Source organism: Homo sapiens, chromosome 1 (genome assembly GCF_000001405.40).
Source record: "Homo sapiens chromosome 1, GRCh38.p14 Primary Assembly".
NCBI lineage: Eukaryota > Metazoa > Chordata > Mammalia > Primates > Hominidae > Homo > Homo sapiens.
This window is the reverse complement of record NC_000001.11, coordinates 227,054,950-227,074,712: the sequence shown is the minus strand read 5'-3', so window position 1 is coordinate 227,074,712 and position 19,763 is coordinate 227,054,950. Positions and strand designations below refer to the sequence as shown.

Genomic DNA, 19,763 nt, shown 5'->3' with positions numbered 1-19,763 from the left:
AAATCTTATTATTTAGAAAACCTCACACATTTGTGCATCTGTGTTAATTGTTAGATTTAAAGAGTGTTAATTCTGTGTTTCAAGGGTGAAGTTTTAATAATGTATCAGCTATGAGTAACTTGGACTTTTGTAAACATCACCTGCTCTACCATGTACATAAAAGAACAGTTCCATAAACCTCTTCCCAGTTGTTGACAGGTAGTATACTATGGTAGACCTTTTCAAAGAAATTATTTAAGACTATCTTTGAATTTCCTACCACTTATTTCTTTAGGAAGCTTTAAAATAACATATATTGCACTGAAGCTTTTTTGTTTTACTTTTGTACTTTGTCTTTATATATTCTAGGGTCAGCGATGAAAAGGATGCACGAGGGTATCTTCAGGCCTTAGCTTCTAAAATGACTGAAGAATTGGAGGCATTAAGAAATTCCAGCTTGGGTACACGAGCAACAGTAAGCTTCTATGATTTTGCATGGAGGCTTATCATATTAGAAAAAAGAGATTTAAAAAACACTATAATAAATCCAATTACTTATATCAGTTTGTTTAGACTTTGAGCCTACTAAAGAGTTTTTTATGAGAAAACTATTAGTTTGGGTCTTTTCCAGTTTAGAAAAACATAACACACAGCTGGTTAACTATAATAATTTAAATGTTAAAAATAGGATGGAACTAAAAACACAGTCATTATTTCATAGGATATGCCCTGGAAAATGCGTCGTTTTGCGAAACTGGATATGTCAGCTAGACTGGAGTTGCAGTCGGCTCTGGATGCAGAAATAAGAGCCAAACAGGCCATCCAAGAAGAGTTGAATAAAGTTAAAGCATCTAATATCATAACAGAATGGTAAGATTGAATCATATAGTCCCACTAGAATAATTTCTAAGTTTGTCATAATTATTTGGAGAGAAGTTACATGTTTAGTTTCCATTGCTTGCTTTTAGAAAAATGATGGCCAAATATGTTACAAAGATTTGAAAATAACTAGATGCTTTTAAGCCTTGTAGATAGTGATGAGGTTTTAATATAGCCTTGTTTTCCTCTGGCTTGTCCATAAAGTAGAATTAATAGTATTAAATAATATTCCATTATTTAATTTTCCTCATAAAATTTAGTTGACTCTCAAATTTTATTAAACCTAAAATTCTCTCATGTTTAGGAATATTATATTTGTATAATAATACAACATATGGTGAGAACAAAATATAATCATTTGAAAATTGTGGCCTCTACCATAGGTCTTTTATAAATGAAAATTCTATTGATGGCAAATTTCATAATGATATAATATCTTTTAAGTATAATTATTGTTTTTCATGTTTCTTTATGTATTTAGAAAAAGTGTATCCCACAGTCTCTGAAGCAGTTAGCTAATGAACACATTTCGTCAATTCTGGTCACAACACTAGAGTGAATCATACTCTGAATACATAAATGATTCACAGTTAGACTGATTATAAACATGGTTCAAAATAAGCCAGTTTAAGTGACATAGAGGAACAATAGAAACTTCACATCACAAGTGAAACTACAAATACGAAAATCCATTGACTGCTGAGAATACCAAAAGTTCCAAAAGCCTGAAAAGAAATGCAGGCCCATGAATTCAGTTTTTAATGGTGTGTAGTCATAGTCCTTAAACTGCAATTGTTTATCTTTTTAATCAAATCAAAGGCCAGATACATGATACTTCTGTTGGATTATAAACTTTTGGTTTATAAGCTTTTTGCTATAAATAATGCAGACATTGTATGTTTTACTTAAATGTGCTTATGTGGCATTGAGGAGGGGAAAACTTTTTCTGGAGAAAGTGAATTGATCCCAGCATAAAGAGCTAATGAATATCATTCTCTGTGTTGTAATTTGAAATAAGTAATATCTTTTCTCCTTATGCCTAGGACAGATGAGTTTACATATTGTTCATAAGTCAGGAAGATGAGCCAGTTTGAAAAATTATAAACTTACTCCTGTATGTGCTCCACTTTCATGGTTGCCTGTAATGGTATAATATCTAACAAAGTCTAACAGAATTCTAAAATTAACCTTTGATTTTGTAACATTTTTAAATTTAATAATTTAGTTCAGGGTCCACAAATGTTTTCTGTAAAGGTTCATTTAGTAAATATTTTAGGCTTTGATTAGCTTCCATCACAGCTTCTCATCTCTGCTATTGTAGTGTAAAAGCAGCCATAGTCAATACTTAAATGAATGAGATTGGCTGTGTTCTAGTAAAACTGTTAATCTACATGAAAGTAGGTAGCAAGCTGTATTTGTTCTTCCCGCAGTAATTTATAGTCCCCTAATTTACCATGCCTGACATTTAAACCAAGTAAGTTTGGCTACATCCAAGATGGCTCACTAACCAGCAATAAAAATTAATGACATTTTTCCTTTTTTCTCCTTATTTAAGTAAACTAAAAGATTCAGAGAAGAAGAACTTGGAACTACTCTCAGAAATCGAACAGCTGATAAAGGACACTGAAGAGCTTAGATCTGAAAAGGGTATGGGAGTGTGTGTTTGCCTCACTCAGGACTTACTGTTATGTTATAAATATATTTTATTACAGAAGAATCAATTCATTGCATAGGTGGGAGAATTGTTGACATAAGCAATTCTGGCACTCATTTATGAATATACGTGTGTATATATGATGCATGTGCATACACACACATTTGGAAGACTGACCTCTGAGTCATTTTGTTTTACTTAATATGCATTGTTTAATGATTTCATAGTAACAGAAAAAGACACTTTGCCATAAATTTGACGTTTTTTTTCAGTGCAGTGGACTACTTCATGAATAACATTTTTGTGATTGGAAAAAAATTTTATTTTATAATGTACTTTATAATATTCTCAAATGCTATGATATGAGGTTATCACTCTGACAGTGGCAATGTGTGTTAACATCCAGAACTTGGTAAGGGTACTTGAACAAGTATTTCCTAGCACTTTTTATGTGCCTAGAATGTATAAAAATTGGGGGGGGGGGGGTGGGATTCACTTTCAGGGTAGTTGAGGAAACAATGTATGAAATAGCTGAAGATTAATTTAGTATTAATGGAGCAATTCAGTAAGGAAAATTTTGGGGGGCATTTTAATGTCTTCTTCCAGTTTGACACTTAAATTGCTTGTCCTGTAGGATATCCCGGATTTATTACCATTTTCTTGAAAACTTTACTTGAACATTTTTCCATTCATGTGAAAGCTTAGTCAGAGTGCTTCATAGCTGTATTACATGAACTTCTTAAACTTTCCTTAATGTGGATGTTAAGAAAGTGAAGATTTAATAAAAAGAAATTCAGATATTTTTAAAATAAAGGGATATCTTATATACATTTATTTGAAATTGATTTTCCTGACAAAGGCCATCACTGAATACTGAACTCGTTAATGGGCTTTTTATTAGGTCTAAGTGCTTTCCTATCATTTCTCAGCCATGCAACACAGTGAGATAAAACTGGTGGAGTCTCTGCATCTGCATGTAAAATGATAGAGAACAGAGAGTAATCACATAAAGAAGCTAACAAGAAAAAGCCTTTACAAATAGTCGATGCTCAATAAATTCTTGTGGATTGAATTTCTTAATTAACAACAAAAGGAAGGAGCCCAGAAAAAGTGAATAGTAATTCAGATTAGGAGCACAAGCCATCATGCCAAAATGAAAATCAAGCTAGGTTTTAATTAATGGAAATTTGAAAGAAGATACATTATTTAGTGAGGAAAAGAAAAAGAATTCGTAAGACATGGACAACTCGTGGCCCTAATGGCAAATAGGAGAGAGACTAGTGCAGAATATGACTTGCACGCCAGATGACATTGATTGCATCATTTTTAGAATAGACCTAAACTTGAAAGAGACTTAAGTTTATCACTGAAGGCATGTTTACCACAGCTTTTTAATTTGGATTTTGAATATTGCAGAACAAAATTTTATTGTATAACATAATGTATACTACTACTTCAGTAATATAATGTGATATTTACAGTATGAGGGCAAGGATGTTTTTAATGCTTCATTTACTATTATTTCCCCAAGTCTCTAGGACAGTGTCTGGCACACTCTCAATATTTGAATGAATTTCTGAACATACTGCCTTACCTGATAACTGTGTTATATTATTAGATAGTAATATGAAAAACACAAATCAGCTGATGTCAATTCCTAAGGATATGGAAGTGAAAAATGTGGGATTGGCTGTTTTCTGGTTTTTTTCTACCTAGTATTTTTATTTGTATGTTGTAAGAATTACTTGGGAAATTGTGCATTTAAAGTTAATGCCATAGTCAAGAGATATGTATGAATTTTTAAAAATTCATCTGAGAAAAACTGGGGTTTGGAGTCTTCATCCTGTCAATAAAAAAATACCTGAAATCAGATTGGCAGTTTTTTTGTAATTAAGTGTATTTGTTTCATCACTGCATTAATTTCTTATAAAGGATTATTCTTATTAGTGCATACTCTGTGCTTTGATAAGAGTATTTCAAAACATAAGCCTGTTTGGTGTTGAATTAGCTTAGAAAAATCAGATATAAACAGACTCCTATTTTTAAATTCTCTCAAGCCTACCAAAAGATTTAATGTGGTTTTTTATTATTTACTATACACAAAAAGAAAGAAACTCAGTAACATAAATAAGCATTTCATGGAAACTGATGTAATTGAACTATTAAGTGATATTCTAGGAAACACTAGTGTATTTTAGTTTTGTTTAAATGTAGAGTTAATTATAGTGATCAACTTTGAAATACAGTAGTTTGTGAACTGCTTTTAGTAGATTCAGACAGGGAAGGTTATCCATTAAAATCAATTTTAATTGTTGTAGCCTTAAAAAAAGTTGCTGCTGTCTTCTAGGTATAGAGCACCAAGACTCACAGCATTCTTTCTTGGCATTTTTGAATACGCCTACCGATGCTCTGGATCAATTTGAAGTAAGTATTAAACATGTCACATATCCTCTGGGGTCAATTTAAAATTCACTTTGTAATTTAAAGTTCACTTATAATAAAACCATTTTATTGCTTCCCACATCAGAGGACCTAGAATCTTAAATAAACAAAAACATATTAGCAGAGGAATATGTTCTGCATTCTTATGGAGACTATAATCCCACCTCTGTTTAACAAAACATCTAAGAAAGATTTAATCATGAGAGTCATTATAAGATTTAAAAGCAATTTCATCTCCCTTAAGAAACATTAAGAGCAGAACAAATCCCAACTTTTGAAATAATTTGACAATTTTTTTATTCTCCAAAGCATAGTGCCACAATAAAAAGTGAGAAAATGTCAAAGCTGACAATAAGGTATTGCTGGTTCTTATTTCAAATCAATTCATCTTTTAAAAACTATACAGTAAGAAGTGCTTTTGTTAAAAGGTGTTACATAGACTCTGTTAGGCATATCACACAGTAATGAAATTGTGATTATGTAACTCTTGATCATTCGTTGGTATTTAAATTCTTTGCTTTAAAAAAATCAACTTACTGTTATCAAGTATATTTTTGTCTCAGTAAATTTAAGTGTGATTATATCTTTATTGAACAAATAATAATCATGTAGCTTTGTGCAAGGCACTGTTGTAAGTGCTGGAGATATAGTAGTGACCAAAATAGACAAAGTCCTTCCCACTAGAACTTACATTCCAGTGGGAAGAATTAGAAGCCTCAGGAATTCCATTGCTTACTTTTAGTTGTTACTTCAAAAGTACTTACATTTAATTTGATTATTAATTATTTGTCATGAGCTTCATTTTATTACATTTTGGGCACAGTATGTGAATTGTGTTTCGTTCCTTTAGGAAAAGGAAAAATAATCACTCTTTAAAAAGTAATTAATGAATCTCTTAAGTTTCTCAAGAACAATGATAGTGACTGCTTTTCTCATTTATTTATTTGAATTAATGTCATTTGCCTTTCAATTGTTTTACAAAGTTTTTGATTTATTATTCTTATTAAATTGCTTCATCCATATTTTCTATTTTTTTATTGCTGTATTCGTTAAATAGGATTCCTTTTCTTCTTCCTCATCTTCACTGATTGATTTTTTGGATGACGTAAGTCTTTGATTTTCAAACCAATGCATCCTTCAGTAAAAAAGATCAGTGAATTGATTTGAAGAATTTGCCTAGTAATGCAGTCAGTTTTAGAAATACCACATTTGAAAATTTATGTGAGCCAAAATATGCTTCTTTCTTATCTTAAATATAATGAAGGATTTATCAGTATTAAACATAATGAAGTAAAAATTTACTTTCAAAAATGCTTTGACTGTTGTAGAATCCCAGTATTTTCAGTCTTTGTAAGAATTCTAAAACTAGAATGCTTATTTAATTATTTTTTATATATATATAAATAATTGCTTATTTTTATTTTTCCTGGCGATTTCTATTTTACTTTTCCCTTTTCTTTTCAGCACTTTACTGTTTAATTTCTATGTTGGTTAAAAATAAACCTCTGGTGGTATAATAAAAAAAAATTACTTTTAATTAATTTCTCCAGTAGGTTTTATTGTATGACAATAATAGAGTACTGATTTTAAAATAAATCAATGTTTAATTGATTTATTTCTAATGCTGACAGAATTTCTCTTCTAATGTGCAAAGTGATTTTAGTTAACATATTCACTATATGCACTATAAATTGACTGCATTATCACTTTCTCTCCTGAATTCTATCAATTTAATAATTTAGAAGTTCCTGTTAAATGTGTATCATTCATTCTCTTTACTACCTGGCATAACATTCTCTCTATTCCACATTAAATGCACAGTAATTCTTGTCCTAAAGCATTTATTATCCTGTTGAATAGTCTTTACAGAAATGGGGAAATAAAATGGATTCAAATGCAAATATTGTGCATAGAATTGTTTTTTAAATCGGGAGATTTTTTAATGTTTTATTCTTTCTGTTTTGTTAGGATACTTATAGTCAGAAGAGTAGTTAGCATAATGTTCTGCTAAAGGAACTTCTTGATCTAGATGTTTAAAAATTATTGAACAAAAAAGTGATTTTGAATATGCTTGGAATATTTATACTGAAGTTTGCACATTTTCATTCTAAACAAAGTGTTTTGCTATTCTCAAAACAAATAATTACTCTGGTTAACTCTATAGTGTGATAAAAAGAGAACTCTCCTCGTGTACAGTGGTATTGCATGTTATAATCTGCTGCTCAGGATGTTAAAATATTCAATATGATATTTCCATACAGATATTATTCACCTTAAAAAAGAAAGGGAAGGAAGTTTGAGTAAATTATTTTGGTTGTTCTTTCCACTAGAAAACCTTTTTATTTCTAACAAACTTCTCTCCATCCCTTTTCCTGTCACAAAAAAAAAATGTACATATATTTGATTGTAAAACCTAAGAGCAGTATGTATTTTGGCAAATACATGAGGTCTTCTCAGCAGACCTTTCAGGAATGCACACCCCAGCCAGGTCCTCAGCTTGTTTCTGCTCTCACAGGCACTCTGCCACTGCTGCCACCCACCTGTAATGCCTGAGCACCCCGCAGCCATTTCCCAGTGTTACTTTTCCTCCAGGAATATCCTTTCTCATCTTCTACCCTCTATTAATGCAACATGAGCTCAGTATAAATATAAAAGTAAATTTTATTGCACTGCAAGGGAACTCCTAGTATGAAGTAAAAAGGAACTGAGTTCACAAGAGCTGCCAAATCTTTTATTTATATTCCACCTCCTAAAAGGCATGATTTCCCACTCATGTGCTTTCTAAGCTCCATTCTCCCAATTTATTGGTTAAGTGCATAAGCAGGCACAAATCCTGCCTGTACAACTTTCTAGGTGTATGGTTTGGAAGAAATTAACCTTTCTACACCCTAAATTTGCTCATCAGGCAAATAGTAATAATAATATAACTAATCTCATAATGTTGTTTGAAGATTTAAGGAAACAGTGTATGTAATGCCGTCAGTAATAATGCCCTTATTACTTTTAATAAGCTGGTTCCCTCCCTTTCTGTATTCTCTTTAGCTTCTTTTCTCATCCATCAGTTCAGTTTCACTTAAATGCTTTCTTAGCTCTTCATCACTCAGTCATCTATCCACCACCAATATTTTATGGCACAAACTTTGTGTTTCTCTTTAGAGTTTGTACCTATGATCTCCCTTCCCAGAGTTATCATTCATTCATTTGATCCTCAAAGTCATAGCAGAATGATGTTTTGAACAGCAGTATTCAATCTTTGACATACTTGAGTTCAGCATCCAAGATATTTCGCATAACGCTCAAGTTCTTCTGTAGCTCTTTTTCTGCTAGGAACTTGGATTCTTTTTTTGTTTTTGTTTTTGTTTTTTTTTTTGAGACAGAGTTTCACCCTGTCACCAGGCTGGAGTGCGGTGACACGATCTCAGCTCACTGCAACCTCTGCGTCCCAGGTTCAAGCGATTCTCCTGCCTCAGCCTCCCAAGTAGCTGGGACTACAGGTGCATGCCCCCCGTGCCTAGCTAATTTTTGTATTTTTAGTAGAGACGGGCTTTCACCATGTTGGCCAGGCTGCTCTTGAACTCCTGACCTCATGATCCGCCCGTCTCAACCTCTCAAAGTGCTGGGATTACAGGCGTGAGCCACCACGCCCGGCTGCACTTGGATTCTTAAGGAGCAAATCAGGTCTCTGTTGTTCTCTGTGCCAAATCTAGTTATATTGTGCTTGATGCTTATATGCCTGCCCTTTGCGGTAAGGCTCTAATGAGTAGTACACATCCTTCTGGACATTCTTTTTTGTTTTCTGTCTCGTTGCTATAGAGGAGATTATGTTGAAGACCTAAAGTTTGAATTGCAGCTGGAACTTGTACGTATAGAAGGGAATAAGACTAGTATTGACTAGAATTGCAGGAATCAAGTCCTTTGGTATCAACATATTATCATTCTTCTCCCTCTGTCTCTGGGAACCCAGTGTTCTCATGCTGCCCTCTGATTTGTTGGAGCTTTACCACCAGTGCCTCTCCTCCTCCAAAGTTACCTTCTTTACTCCTACTTTTACCCTTCCACACAGGCCTCTAAGTGTAGTTACTTTATTTAAAACAGTACGGTTTTAAGTTAAAATGTTCCCATCCCTATTTTTTCCTCCACATGTTTTGCCTGTTAACTCAAAATTCAAATGAATGCTGGAATTTTTGGCACAATGGGAAGATGTTCGGAGCAACATGCTTTCCTTTTTAAGTCACATTGTTTGGCCAATACTTGTATGTGTAAGAGTAGCTTTGAAGAGAAGAAATATATGTAATACCAGTCATTCCCTTCCCTCTGGGAAAATGAAAGGAGGCAACCAGGCAGAGCAGAGCATATTCTCAACACTCTCTGCTTCTCTAACTTGGGGGAATGTAGGCATTTGGGCTTTTCTACATGTAGAATCATAGAGTTTTGAAGGAGAAAACCTTAGAAAGTATTTAATCCAGTTGTTTTAACCATTACAGCACTCTTCTGTTATTAAGAGTGGATAGGTTACTCTCCCATTTTTAAGAGTGACTTTTTTAAAGTTCTCAATCTTTGGGGATTAGGACAGTGTGGTGATACATTGTTATGTAAAATATTCTTTAGGACAGATAAAGAAGGGTTTGAGTTAATTTATTTATTTATTTATTTATTTATTTTGAGATGGAGTCTCGCTCTCTCACACAGGCTGGAGTGCAGTGGCGCGATCTCAGCTCACTGCAAGCTCCGCCTCCCGGGTTCACGCCATTCTCCTGCCTCAGCCTCCCGAGTAGCTGGGACCACAGGTGCCCACCACCACGCCCGGCTAATTTTTTGTATTTTTAGTAGAGATGGGGTTTCACCGTGTTAGCCAGGATGGTCTTGATCTCCTGACTTCGTGATCTGCCCACCTCGGCCTCCCAAAGTGCTGGGATTACAGGCATGAGCCACCATGCCTGACTGGGTTTGAGTTAATTTTAAAAGAAATTGAAACTACTTTGATAAGTGGTCTCTTGAGAAAGGCATTTCCATTCAACCTATTAAGAAAGCAGTAGAACAGAGATACCAAGATCCCTTCTGCTGTAGAAATTATTCCCACTTCTACCCTCATCTTTTCCTTCAACCGTGCATGCCCAGTCTTGGACTGTCTAGTCCATGTTAGCCCCAGCCTCTTTCTCTAGGTAATAAACAGGGTGAGGAGCAAATGGAGCTCAGCTGCTTAGATTTTCCCATTTCTTTCCCCCATCTATTCCCTTCATCCCAATAGTAACAGATCCAGGGATCATCACACCAAGCTTGTAGCAACTTCCTATACTCTCTTCAGTTCATTTTCTTTTCAGCCGAACCTGAAAAAGCTTGGCTTGAGAGTATTATAGATAATACTAATTACAATCATATAAATTAGCTGCTTGCTCTTTATATTTGAGAAACGTATTGTCATATATTAAATATGTGCTAAGTAAGTTTTGAATTTGATTAAATTACAATTCTACACTTTGTTCATTTAGTCCCAGTTCACAAAAATAGAAATTGCCCATTTGCCTGGAAAATGAGAATGTACTCAACTTGGTTTTTCAGAGTTTTCTTACTCTGATATACTGATGAAAGAGTAAATCAAGGATTAAGCTCGGGAATATAAAGGTCAGACACAGAGAAACAGAGATAGTATCTATAGCCCAACAGTCTGGTCCCCCTAATATTGTTTTCCATTCTTATATTCTGGCATATAAGAAAAGCAAGTAGTCTGACAACATTGGCAGGCTGAGTTCTGGACTTGATTTTAACCTTGTATAACATCTTACTAAGATGCTTCAAAATATTTAATTTCAGTCATGGCTTCTAACTTCTTTAATTTATCTCTTGATTTCACATGGTTTTATCTCCCAGCTTCTTTTACATTCTGTTACAATCAGTTACAGAAATCCGAGGCTTTTACAGAAATCTGAGGCTTGGCAGCATAGTTTCAGCGATACTTGGGGGAATGGTCAATTGTATGTGAGAATTGGTAGGAAATAGAGTTTTAAAACATACATTTTAAAGATTTTTAGTCCTATGACCAAAATCAGACCTAGCTTCTTTGGCATTCCTGAAATTTGCTCATTCAATTCTTGTTTTTACAATTTCTATCCACATATTCACCACAACCCTACCTGAAGATTGCATATTTCAGAAAGTTACATGCATTTTTTCCTCAACTTAGGCAATATATTATGTTGAATATAATTGTATATATTACGTATTTTATCGCATATATAATATAATAATATATTTAGACAATCTAAAGAGAAAGAACCATGATTACATAGTCCATTTCTTCTTTGGTATTTTATTAAATAAGACCTCTAGGATTAATTGAACCTTAAAAACTATTAGCCAAATTATGTACTCCTGAGATTATTTCTTTTGGTTTCTGCTTGTGTGCATACCTTCATATTCAGTCTTAAAGTTTTGTTGGCATGTCATGGACCTATATATGAAATACATGTTTTAAAGTGGTATTTGGTTGCACATTAAGACAAGGTGCTGGTTTATAGTGTTTGCCATGAATTCAATTTCAGTGTTTATAAAAACCACAGTGTGTGTAGGTATATATGAGAGAGAAAGTGTGTGGGTGTGTTTTCCTCTAACTCACCTTTTCTGTTGAAAACATAAAAATAGTTGAAAACGTAACAATATTGAAAACATAAAAATTAGACAATTTCTAAGTAAACACTTTGGTAAGAAATCATTGCTGTGGTGATAGTATCATTATTAGCTTTAAATGGTATTGGCTTAGAAAATGTATTGTCCTTCATTTTCAAAGATAGTTTCGGGAGACATTTTAACTTGTTTTTAGTATAGTGATAATATATTTATTTTGAGATATTCATGCTCTTTTCCATGGTTTTAGCATACTCCAGACTCTAGTCTAGAAGTAGAGATAGCCAAAAAAGTTTTTTTTTTTTTTATGTTAAACATTTTAGCACTTTTTACATGGGTGGTAATATACTGGGCATAATGGATACAAAGACAAAGCAGATGTGGAAATGGACCTCAAAGTACTTATTTTATAATTAGAAAAATAATTATATAGTTACACACTATGCAATGTGGAAAGCAATAAATGCCATGAGAAATACCTAGGCTAAGTACTATGGACATTCAGAAGGATTCATTCAATATTTATTGAGAATATTTAAGTTTGAAGTCTTATGCTAAGCAAAATACAATACTTCCTGCCCTTAAGCGTAATATTTCCTGCCCTTAAGCATAATACAATATTTCCTGCCCTGACAGTCTAATTGGAAAGACAAATATATAACCAGATAACTATAACACCATGTGGGAAATATAGTAATAAAAGATAAAGATCGTATATCATGGGAATACAAAGAAGAGAGATTTCTGATTGAACCAGGAGGATCCAGAAAAGCTTATTAAAGGAAATAATGCCTGAGCTGGGTCTTCACAGATGAGTATGTTCAGCAAAATCATAAAACAACTACATAAGAGGAGTATATTCTAGACAGGCAGAGCGAACTTGCGGGGGGAGGGAGCAGGGAGTTACGGGATTGTGGACAGAGGGAGATTTCAATTTAGTTAGAATTGTCCCTTGCTTGGCAAACAAAAAGGGTGAGGAAGGGATTGAGAAATGAGTATGAAGACATGGGCAAAGGCCAGAATAAGGGTCTATGTTTCTCAACTTTATACTTCATATTACAGAGCTTAGGTTTAATCAGTCCCATATGTAATAATTATTAAAAGATTTAACAGAAGAGAAAGGTGACAGCTTCATTTTGGACAAGTTAAGTTTGAGATTCCTAAGGGACATCCAGTTGGAGATGTCCAGCAGACAGTCAGATATTTAATATATGCGTCAGGAGTTTAAGGAAGAGGAGTGGACTGGCAACAGAGATTTGGAAATAATCAGAGTTGAAAGTGGATGAGATTCCCCAAGGGGCAGATTGTAGCAGTGAGCCAAGGACAGAAACCTGGAATCTCCATTGAAGAAAGGGTGAAGGAATAGGACTCCACAAAAGCTAAGAAAGCAATCGTTGAGAAGTATGTGGTTACTTAGGAAAGTACCTGTCAGAAAAACTAGAAGAGCAGATAATTTTAAGGAGGGGAATGGTCAGTGTGATGGTATGGCAGAGGTGGTTGGTCAGATAGGACAAACCAGAAATACTGACCTGAGTATCAGATCAAAGCAGAATCTGAATTGCACTGTATTAGAAGTTAATTGGGAGTTTAGAAAATACAGACGGCATTTGTATACCATTTTTCAGAAATCTGGCTGAGGAAGTTTTGAATCCTGGCTCTACCACTTAATAGTTTTATAACCTTAGGCAAGTTGATCCATCTTCTACATCTTTAAAATGAGGATCATAATTCCTACCTTATAGGGTTTCTGTGAGAATTAAAATAATTCATATATGTAAAGCACTTTGGAAAACGATCTGCATATACTCTGCACATAATAAATGTTATTATGATTATTAAGGAAGAAGGGAGATAGATGATAGCTAGAGGAAGAGTTGGAGTTGATTTGTTTATTGTTTGGTTGTTTGGTTTTGGGGGCAAGAAGGAATGAGAGAGGTTCTTCCCATTAATAACTGAGGAAAAGTAACTAGGTTTGAACCTGAGACTTTAGCCTCCATAATGGAAAAACTTCTTTAGAACTCTCCGGGCCTTCTAATCCTGGTTTACTATTAACTCTGCAGGACACAGTGTTCAAGTTATCTTCCATTCCATTTCCTATGGAAAGAAAGAATATTTCTGGCCAGGCGCGGTGGTTCACACCTGTAATCCCAGCACTTTGGGAGGCCGAGGCAGGCGGATCACTTAGGTCAGGAGTTCGAGACCAGCCTGGCCAACATGGTGAAACCCCATCTCTACTAAAAATACAAAAATTAGCCGGGCATGGTGGCGCGCACTTGTAATCACAGCTACTCGGGAGTCTGAGGGAGGAGAATCACTTGAACCTGGGAGGTAGAGGTTGCAGTGAGCCGAGATCGCACCACTGCATCCACCTGGGTGACAGAGCAAGACTCTGTCTCAAAAAAAAAAAAAAAAAAAAAAAAGTACCTATTTACTTACCTGCCAGAGTTATTGTAACACTAATACTGAATTTTTGGTAGTGTTTCTCATTCTTGAACTTTTCCTTTTTTCTTAAATCTTCTATAACTCCTGTAGACCTAGTCTATAAGTTCCCTCCTCTAGGTCCCCAAGAAAATCTTCTCTGTCCCTCCTCTAGGTTCCCATACAAACCTTGTACATATCTCAGTGATAGCATTTGTCACATTGTTGCTGGCATGATGTCTTCTCTACCAGTCTGTGAACTTCCATGTCTTGTTTATCTTTCAATCCCTTGCAAAGTCGGCTTAGTATCCAACGTATTGTGAGCTCACAACAAATGTTAGGTTGCACTGAATGTTAGAAATTGCCGAAGTAGATATGGTTCATATTAGTGAAGCTCTACTGCTGGAGCATCACAAAAATATTTTGATTGGGAGGCCAAGGTGGGTGGATCACGAGGTCAGGAGATCGAGACCATCCTGGCTAACATGGTGAAACCCCGTCTCTATTAAAAATACAAAAAATTAGCCGGGCGTGGTGGTGGGCACCTGTAATCCCAGCTACTCAGGAGGCTGAGGTAGGAGAATGGCATGAACCCAGGAGGTGGAGCTTGCAGTGAGCCAAGATTGCGCCACTGCACTCCAGCCTGGGCGACAGAGCGAGACTCCCGTCTCAAAAAAAAAAAAAAAAAACAAAAAAAAACTTTTTGAGATAATTGTTCCTTTTTTCCTAATTACTTAATTCTTTAATGTTAGAAAGGTGAAAGTCCCTCTTTTGACTATGGCTGAAGTTGAGTCAGGATGGAGTATTGTTCAAATAACTTTTAATTTTAATTTATTATCATTAATTCTGAAATCCTAACTTAGCCCTTGTCATTTAAAAGAATCATTTTTGAAAAGAGTAAAAATTTACTAGGTAAATGTCTAACGCCAGGCTAGTTCATTATTTTATTGAATGTTTGCCAGCACTAAATCAGAAATATCTAGATCCTTTTTGTTCTCATTTGTTCCAGTCTGCTACTGCCAACCTTTCCAGAAAAGAAATTGTCTATCACTTGATGAAGGCTTATTTTGTGGGTCACTGTACATGGGCCAGTGAAAAGTTTGTCAACCTTAGACGTAGTCCAAACAACTGTTTCTTTACCATCCTATCCTCCAGTTTTTCCTAAAAATACATGTACATTCAACCTATCCAAAACTGTGGCTTTATATGTATGTTTATATACTTTGTCTGTTAATACAATAGTAGTCCTTGAGAGTCTTATGTGTGTAAATATTTGTAACATGTCCTATTCTCCTTTCTCTGTTGAAGCGCTCTCCATCCTGTACTCCAGCTAGCAAAGGCAGACGTGTAAGAGACTTTTGCACTTTATGTACCCATCCTGAGGCCTTTTACCCCTCTCTCATCCTTTTGCCTGTGATTGCGGAACCTGTTAATGTTTTTGTGGTATATTATTACATCTATTGCATGCTTTGTGCTGCTGCTCCTGCTGTTGCTGTGCTGCTTTTATGTTTTTGTTTATGTTTTTTTTTTGGCTTTGGCCGCAAAGCTTTAGGAATGTTCATATAAATCACTATAACCAAACTACTAAAATGATATCTTTTTTAGTTTGATCAAGGGGAAAAGTGATCCTAAAGTATGCCTTCTAAGTAGTCAAAGTACATGAGCTCCTAAGAATCTTTTGTAAGCAAGTATGTAGATTGTTTCTTAGAGATTTTAATTATGTAGAAAGAAAACTTGATCATTCATGTTGTACAACATTCAAAAATGATTTGGAACAAATTATACATCTTATTGACTATAATTTATGTAAATCAGTTCTAGAGAAATCTTGTTTTTTTTTTTTTAATGTAGTTCAGAGGAATCTCCCAAACTAATTATCTAGATCTGAGGAAATAATGTTAATAATAAAGCCTTTCTATTCTAAGATAATTCCAAGATTTAAAAAATATCAGTAACATTATTTATATATGTATTATTAACAAACTGTAAATATCTTCCTATACTAATCCTAGCTCTGTGTTTCTCAACTTGAAATGAGTCAGCCACTACCTCTGTGCTACAAGATTCTGACATGCCCAGAGATGGAATTTTTCTAAACCAGCCACATCCCAACACTAGTCATAAACACACATACATACTCCCTATTTGAAAAGCGACAGGGTAGCTGACAGTGTTGGGATTTTCATATACTATGTAAAATAGTAACATTCAAAAGGAAAGTCAGTGATGGATACAAATTCGTAATGTTCACCAGTCATCTCCGTGGAGACTGATCAACACTTTACATTCCGAATTCTTAGACTCGGAAAGTTCTAGATGAGGGAATTCTGTGGTTTGTGGTAGGCATGGGAAGCAGTAGGGGTGGCCTGCTGCTTCCTGTGGTCCTGTCTTTCTGGTATGTTGGAGGGTTGGTTGTAAAATAAACATGAATAACTCTAATATAGCATATATAATATTTTCGGATTACAGCTTAATAATGAATAAGCATTTCAGATACCTGTACTATGGCCAGTAGAACTGCATTCAAGTGATATCTCATTAATTATTGTGTTTATGAAAGATTACTAGTTCAACTGATTGCTTGATTATTTTGAAACTTGTAGAGACTTAAAACCATTAGATATTTGGATTTATCAAATGAATCTGAATATATGTTGATTACATTACATAACCTCTAGAAGGGAAAACCAATATGTTGTGTGCCCAGTTATATTAGGGTCAAATCACCAGCCCGTGAATTGACTAAATTTTTAACTACTTGCTGTTTTTTCAATAAGGTTATAATTTAGGATTTGTTTCTCTCATTTTATTATGGATTAATTATGTCTCACTTGCCTTGCAGACTTTCTGGGGCCTTGGACACCTAGAACATTTTTTGTGAATCTTGAAATAAGAAAAAAATTTTGGAGGGAAATAGCTGTTATAAGGTCTCTCCTTAATTCTATGTCTTTATTCTATGAGATATGAATAAACTATAATTAACCATAATCTATTGACTTATTATTACATATGATTATTTTAAACGTAGATATAATAGGCTTGGTTATCTGCTTTCCTGGCCTCCTTCAATTTTTCTTTGGTTAAGTATCTCACAAAAAAAGTCAGCCACTGAAAAGTAATAGTGCCTGTGAAGATGCTTGAAGAATTACAAATTACTCAGCTGTTAAATAGAAGCATCTCAGTGGTATAGTGTAGAACCTCAGTGTTCCCTGGGACATCAGTGTATTTCAGTAGGACACATGCAGTTACCATTCTTAACAATGGCCTCTGTTGTAACAGTAGCATAAGATTTTATGTTATATACCATGTTTTTAGACAAGAAAATATGCAGTATTTTAATAAATTTAAAATTAACTATGAAATGTCATATGAATGAGGTAGTATTACAAAATAATGTTTCTTGCATTCTTGTTTCTAGTATGCTATTAAACCTCATTTACAGTTTGAATGATTTTCTTTATAAATAGTATTAAGTATAGTAGAAGAAAAAGTTTTTATTGATAGTATTGTTAATGTCCAAATACAAATGATGAGAGAGATTTCCACAGTGCTTTCATTAATAGTGAGAAACACTGAATGTATTATTTCAGATTGTTCATTTAGAGTTTGGAGCAGAGATTTTATAGCCCACGTATGGCTTAACTTTCTCTTATGTTTTCTTAGAATATGTGTAAATTCTCCAGACTAGATATTCCAATCAGTATATTGAAAATAACTTGAGAATAAATTTTCTTAAAGGGAAACAAGGTGCATTATGTATAACTAGTAAGCTTACCCTTACTGGTCACAACCTTTAGTCATTTGTTAGGATTTGTTCTAGCGCAATAAAATGTATTTACTGTTTTCCAAATGATATAGTACTTCTGTAATACTGTTTTTGTATCATAAGTTCAATTAACAGAAATAAATATATCACTAAAAGATTTGAGTTTATACTTGTTCTCAATACAAAATATTAAATTACCTTCTACTTTGTTTTCAAAATACTTCTAGCTAGAGGATAAAGAAAATTGATAGAAACTGGATTTTGGCCAGGCATGGTAGCTCACGCCTGTAATCCCAGCACTTTGGGAGGCCAAGGCGGGAGAATCGCTTGAGCCCAGGGTTTGAGACCATCCTGGGCAACATAGGGAGACCCTGCCTCTACAAAAAAATTTTTTAAAAATTAGCCAGGCATAGTGGCACATGCCTGTGTTCACAGCTACTCTAGAGGCTGAGGTAGGAGGATCAGTTCGGCTCAAGAATTCAAGGCTGTAGTGACCCGTGATTGTGCCACTGCCCTACATCCCAGGGCAAGAGAGAAAGACCTTGTCTCAAAAAAAAAAAAGAAAAGAAAAGAAAAGAAACTGGGACTTTTTAACTTACAGTTTATGTTTACCAATAACAAACAACTTGTTAGATGCAAGCTAGTTTTTAGTAGGTTGACCATATATAATCCATATCACATCTTGGTGTTTTTTACTTTGAAGCAAGGTTTCTTATGAGAGGGGTTGTTACTTGTGCAAATCTGTAATTATTTAGGCAGTAGAAAAGGCCTGTTGATACATATTCAAGATGAGTGGTTTTAGTTATTTTTATTATTTATAGGAAAACCATGCTGTCCATAATTTGAGGAATTCTTGATAAGTGGGTCATCTAAAAACCAGTTCTGTGATCCTGGGCGGCGGGGGGACCTTTTTAAATGTACTACTGTAAAAATACATTTGAGGATCTTTTAGTAGAAAAATCCTAACAGCTTCAGGGACCATTATGAACATTTTGCATTAAAATGTTTTGCAGTATGGACAGTACCACTAATATTCAGCTTTTCCTCTTTTTTTTTTTAACAGAGCATTAAGTAAAATGATACTGAAATATAGTAGATGTTTCTAATGACTGTTCGTCAGAGTAACACCTTAAAGTATGTTTACTTAGGAAAAGAAAATTAGCTAACAAAAAAAAATTGCATTTACTTAAAGATATTTCTTATATTGAATTTATAATATCTCTGCTACTTATGTATGTTTATTAGCTTTTGCTGCATTATTATACTTAATGCTATAGTATTTTAGCACATAAAAAATGACAAAAAGAATATTTTAACTTCCATGGCTAAAATATTAATAATGATTATGTTTGTTTTTAAGGTTTTAAAATACTTTGTAATAAAATAACTAATGGTATTAATCAGTTGCTTTGCTGCTATACTATATCAGAGTCATTGCCAATTCATAATTAAACTGAATCATAGGCTGTCTTTAAATGCCAGCATGTATTCATTGAATATTCTGAAAGTTTAATAGAATTAATTGCTTTTTAGTGGATAGAATAAGCCATTAATTATAAATGCATTGGTAGGCATTTAATTGTGGTTAAAATTAGTAACTTCCTGAAAATTCCAGTCTGGTTGGCGATAATTAAAACTTGAATAAAGAAAATAAGTGATTTGTGGTGTAACACTTTTGAGATATTGTTTACACTGGCGGTAACCGAGAAATGAAATACTTAAATCTATTAATGTTATTAGCATTAGTTTCATTTAAAAGGCCTGGACATTTTTTTTTATATTTGAAATGGTTTTTGCCCTGAGTTTATTCACCTTTACCAAGCTTTGTCCTTTGTCTTTAAAAGAAACACACTTTGAAAGTAAAGTGGTAATTTTTAAATTTTAATTATTATATTCATAGGTTTTTAAAATTAAAGATATGACTATCACTATAAATGGCATAGTTCAACTTTTTAATATGCCTAATACCATCTCAAAATATTTCAGTATTTTCACTTATTTTTA

The 19,763-nt window shown here is 34.0% G+C and overlaps 1 protein-coding gene across 25 annotated transcripts in view, besides 1 other annotated feature; it reads left to right on the top strand.

Moving 5' to 3' along the window:
- Positions 1 to 19,763, top strand: part of CDC42BPA (CDC42 binding protein kinase alpha) — a 328,635-nt gene that overhangs the window by 243,780 nt on the left and 65,092 nt on the right. For 10 of the 25 annotated variants that reach the window (NM_014826.5, XM_047432364.1, XM_047432365.1 and 7 more), the window contains 4 exons: positions 349 to 454; positions 701 to 849; positions 2,414 to 2,505; positions 4,860 to 4,936. In NM_014826.5, coding sequence (NP_055641.3) covers positions 349 to 454; positions 701 to 849; positions 2,414 to 2,505; positions 4,860 to 4,936 — 424 coding nt within the window. Of the gene's footprint in view, positions 1 to 348; positions 455 to 700; positions 850 to 2,413; positions 2,506 to 4,859; positions 4,937 to 6,011; positions 6,060 to 15,301; positions 15,341 to 19,763 lie in introns of all 25 variants that reach the window. The other 15 variants (XM_017002580.3, XM_011544309.4, XM_011544307.4 and 12 more) reach the window with 4 other exon arrangements.
- Positions 1,933 to 2,516: an enhancer, noted in NCBI's record as "NANOG hESC enhancer chr1:227259898-227260481 (GRCh37/hg19 assembly coordinates)". NCBI's record gives its function as "activates a minimal SCP1, AML or CMV promoter by ChIP-STARR-seq in naive H9 embryonic stem cells {active_cell/tissue: H9 hESC(naive)}" and the evidence as "EXISTENCE:reporter gene assay evidence [ECO:0000049][PMID:30033119]".